The sequence below is a fragment of the Homo sapiens genome, chromosome 6 (assembly GCF_000001405.40).
Source record: "Homo sapiens chromosome 6, GRCh38.p14 Primary Assembly".
Taxonomy (NCBI): Eukaryota; Metazoa; Chordata; class Mammalia; order Primates; family Hominidae; genus Homo; species Homo sapiens.
This window is the reverse complement of record NC_000006.12, coordinates 22,312,883-22,317,595: the sequence shown is the minus strand read 5'-3', so window position 1 is coordinate 22,317,595 and position 4,713 is coordinate 22,312,883. Positions and strand designations below refer to the sequence as shown.

The following is a 4,713-nucleotide window of genomic DNA, read 5'->3' as shown; positions in this document are numbered from 1 at the left end:
TCAGGGATAATAAGCAAGAGACATCAATAATATAGATGGGTACTTAATCATGAAAAAATGGTAGCACATGGATTATATCATTCCAGAGGATATGTATTATGACTGCTGTTTTTTATTACTTTTAATTATCTGGCTTATTAGGTTAATACCAAATACCAAAAACTAATACCGAAATAGAGGCACATGGTATTGAAGTTATGGTGATAAAGACAAAGACAGAAAATGTAATTAGAGTCAGCAGTAGGATCATAATGAGGGATGGCATAGCTTAAAAGACAAAGCAAAGTTCTCAAAGTTACTTAAGAAGCCAAGAACAAGCCAGGTGTGAGGAACAAGCTTAGTGTGTATACCAGAAACTGCCCAGAAGGAAAACTAAGTCCATAAAAAGTACAATGAAGGTGAAAGCCAAAATTTCGATGAATAACAGCGGCTGAGCAGGGTTTACGTAGATACTGAAATTCAGGAGCAGAGGCAGATCTGAGACCAACTACACTAATGAGTATCAGGAAAATCAAAGTACAAAAGGGCCCGAAAAGTAAACCATCAACAGGCTCTTTAGTCTCATCAAAAGAATAAGAGGAGACAAAGGGGAAAGCTAAAATACAAAGGCTGGTGCAGAACCAGAGGATGCTGAGGAGTGAAAGTTGGGGACTGGATGGACCAGGAAACAGAAGAGGCTCCAGTACCCAGAGTAAAAACTGACAAGCAATACTCACGTCTGCACGCTTCTGGGATCCACCACAATTTTAACACTTGTATACTATGGCATCTGCAAATGAAAGCAGGCAGAGATTAAATCTCGCTGTGACACTGAATCAAAGACAATAGTATTTGTCAGTTTATTTTTCTCATTAAACTATAAAAATCATGCATATTTATCCATTGATTATTGAAGTCTTCAGATTACAGTCTGGAAGAGCCATTGAGACCATCTTTGGTGATATATTAGCTAATCATATATGTAATTTGTTCATAAAGTAACATTTTCGGCCAAGCACAGTGGCTCATGCCTGTAATCCCAGCACTTTGGGAGGCCGAGGCAGGCGGATCACTTGAGGTCAGGAGTTTGTGACCAGCCTGGCCAAGATGGTGAAACCCCGTCTTTATTAAAAATACAAAAATTAACCGGACGTGGTGGCGCATGCCTGTAATCCCAGCTGCTCAAGAGGCTGAGGCAGGAGAATCGTTTGAACCCCGGAGGCAGAGGTTGCAGTGAGCTGAGATTATGCCACTGCACTCCAGCCTGGGCCACAGAGTGAGACCTGTCTCAAAAATAAATAAATAAATAATAATAACATTTTCATGGGACAAAGTTATACATTTGCTCATTTACCAATAAAATGATTGATTACATCAGGACCTAGGATATTCTGATATATTTATTGCCACATACAAAATCTACTTTAGATGAGACTCAAAGTGTCATATAAGAATATAATGCATATTTATATTTATGCACAGCACATATATATCTACACAGAAATACATGGGGACCTACCTATCTATGCTACCTGAACTATCATGCCGCTTTCCTTGCCACAATAAGCTCTTAGTATGTCAAGGGCTGTAATCACAACTCATTCTTTCTTTTGAGGGCCATTAATTTTGTTTTTATCACCTCATTATAAATAACAATGTTCTTAGATACTATGGCCATTCCCAATTGACTAAGAGTAGAGAAACCCTGGTAGGTGCTAATATTTTATCATTATTTAATTACTACTCTTCTAATAAATTGGAAGAACCATGATCAGACCTCATTAAGGATGATACAATTTCTTTTATCCATCAATCATTGCCCAGGCTAAATTCTTGCTCACTTAAGTCTTAAATTCTACTTATTTACAAAGATCACTAGCTACGTTATTTTTCTACCCTAAAATCAGCTCCTTAATATTGTTTTTCTAATTTTAGGGGCAAAAAAGTATACCAAGGTTTATTAAAAGTTGATGGCAGCTTGAAAACTAGTGCTGACCTGACAGTGGTAGCCTTGGCAGACATATTTTCAAAATTTTTTTCTCAGAGATATTTTTAATGAGGCTTTAAAAATAAGGGTATTTAAAACAAATAAGAATATTAAATACTTTAGATAGCAAAAAAATTTGTTTGTCCTCTGGTATCTTTTCTATAAAAAAGTAAAATGAGTAAATGGTTGTTGATATAGTTTGGATATTTGTCCCTGCCCAAATCTTGTGTTGAAATGTATCCCCCATATTGGAGATGGGGCCTGATGGGAGGTGTTTGGGCCATAAGGCCAGATCCCTCGTGGCTTGGTGCTGTCCTCATCATGGTGAATTTTTGTGAGATCTGGTTGTTTGAATGTGTGCCACACACTTGAACAATTCCCCCACTCTCTTGTGGCACACAATAAACCACCACCACCCCTACTTTTGCTCACTTGCTCCTGCTGCCACCATATGAGACACTTGCTCCCTGCTTGCCTTCCGCCATGATGGGAAGCTTCCTGAGGCTTCCCCAGAAGCAGATGCTGGCACTATGTCTCCTGTACAGCTTGCAGAACTGTAAGTCAATTAAACCTCTTCTCTTATAAATTGCCCAGTCTCAGGTACTCCTTTATAACAATGCAAGAACGGCCTAACAGAAAATTGATATTGAGGAGTGGGGCATTGCTATAAAGAAACCTGAAAATGTGGGAGGAGCTTTGGAACTGGTTAATGGGTAGAGGTTGGAAGAGTGTGGAAGGCTCAGAAGACAGGAAAATGAGGGAACGTTTGGAAATTCTTAGAGACTGGTAAAATGGTTGTGACCAAAATGCTGATAGTGATATGGACAGTGAAATCCAGGCTGATAAGATCTCAGATAGAAATGAGGAACTTAGGCCAGTCACAGTGGCTCATGCCTGTAATCCCAGCACTTTGGGAGGCCGAGGCAGGTGGATCATGAGGTCAGGAGATTGAGACCATCCTGGCTAACACGGTGAAACCCCATCTCTAATAAAAATACAAAAAATTAGCCGGGCACAGTGGTGGGCGCCTGTAGTCCCAGCTACTTGGGAGGCTGAGGCAGGAGAATGGCGTGAACTCGGGAGGTGGAGTTTGCAGTGAGCCAAGATGACACCACTGCAGTCTGGCCTGGGCGAAAGGGCGAGACTCCATCTCAAAAAAAAAAAATAATTAAAATAATTAAAAAAAAAAAAGAAATGAGGAACTTACTGGAAACTGGAGCAAAGGTCACGCATATTATGCCTTAGCAAAGAGCTCAGCTACATTCTGTTTATGCCCTAGGATCTGTGGAAGTTTGAGCTTAAAAGTGAGATTTATGGTATTTGGCAGAAGAAATTTATAAGCAGCAAAGCATTCAAGATGTGACCTGGCTGCTTTTAACAGCCTACACTCAAATGTGGGAGCAAAGAAGTGACTTAAACTTGGAATTTATATTTAAACAGAAAGCAGAACATAAAAGCTTGAAAATTTTCAGACTGGCCAAGTGGCAGAGAAAGAAAAAGCTTTTTCAGGAGAGGAAATCAGGCAGGCTGTGGAGTAACCACTTGTTAAAGAGATTTGCATAACTGAAAAAGAGCCAGATGCTGATAGCCAAGACAATGGGAAAAAGGACTCAAAGGCATTTCAGAGACATTCACAGTAGCCCCTCCCATCACAGGCCCAGAGGCCTAGGAAGGAACAATGCTTTTGGGGGGCAGGGGCAGGCTCAGGATCCCGCTACCCTGCAAAGACTCAGGACACTGCTCCCCACATCTTGGCCACTCCAACTCCAGCCATGGCTCAAAGGGGTCCAGGTATAGTCAGGCTGCCACGTTAGAGAATGCAAGCTATAAGCCTTGGCAGATTCCCTGTGGTGTTAAGCCTTCAGGCATGCAGAGTACAAGAGTGAAGGCGGCTTGATGGCCTCCACCTAGATTTTCAGAGAATATATAAAAAAGCCTGGGTGCCCAGGCAGAAGCCTGCTGGAGGGGGACAGCCCTAATAGAGAACCTCTACTAGGGCAGTGCCAAGGGGAAATGTGGGGTTGGAGCACCCCACATGGAGTCCCCACTGGGGCACTGCCTAGTGGAGCTGTGGAAAGAAGAGCACCATCTTCCAGACCCCAGAATTGTAGATCTACTGGCAGCTTACACCCTGTGCCTGGAAAAGCCACAGACACTCAACACCAACCTGTGAGAGCAGTGGAGAAGTCTGAATTCTGTAAAGCCAAAGGAGTGGAGCTGCCCAAGGCCTTGGGAGCCCACCTCTCCCACCAGTGTGCCCTGGATGTGGTACAAGGAGTCAAAGGAGAATATTTTGGGGCTTTAAGATGTAATGACTACCCTGCTGGGTTTCAAACTAGCATGGGGTCTGTAGGCCCTTTTTTTTTTTTGCCAATTTCTCCCTTTTGGAACAAGAAAGTTTACCCGGTTCCTGTTACCTCCTTTGTACCTTGGAAGTAAATAACTTGTTTTTATTTTACAGGCTCATAGGTGGAAGGGAATTGCCTTGTCTCAGATTACATTTTGGACTTTGGACTTTTGGTTAACACCGCAATTAGTTAAGACTTTGAGAGACTATTGGGAAGGCACGATTGTTTTGCAATGTGAGAAGGATGTGAGATTGGGGTGTGGGGGGTGGAATGATATAGTCTGGATATTTGTCCCTGCCCAAATCTCATGTTGAAATGCAATTCCCAATGTTGGAGGTGGGTGCTGGTGCAGGTATTTAGGCCATGAGTGTAAATCCCTAATGTCTTGGGGCTGTCCTC

General features: G+C 42.1%; 1 annotated feature.

Moving 5' to 3' along the window:
• Positions 3,287-3,841: an enhancer, noted in NCBI's record as "OCT4-NANOG hESC enhancer chr6:22313984-22314538 (GRCh37/hg19 assembly coordinates)". NCBI's record gives its function as "activates a minimal SCP1, AML or CMV promoter by ChIP-STARR-seq in naive H9 embryonic stem cells {active_cell/tissue: H9 hESC(naive)}" and the evidence as "EXISTENCE:reporter gene assay evidence [ECO:0000049][PMID:30033119]".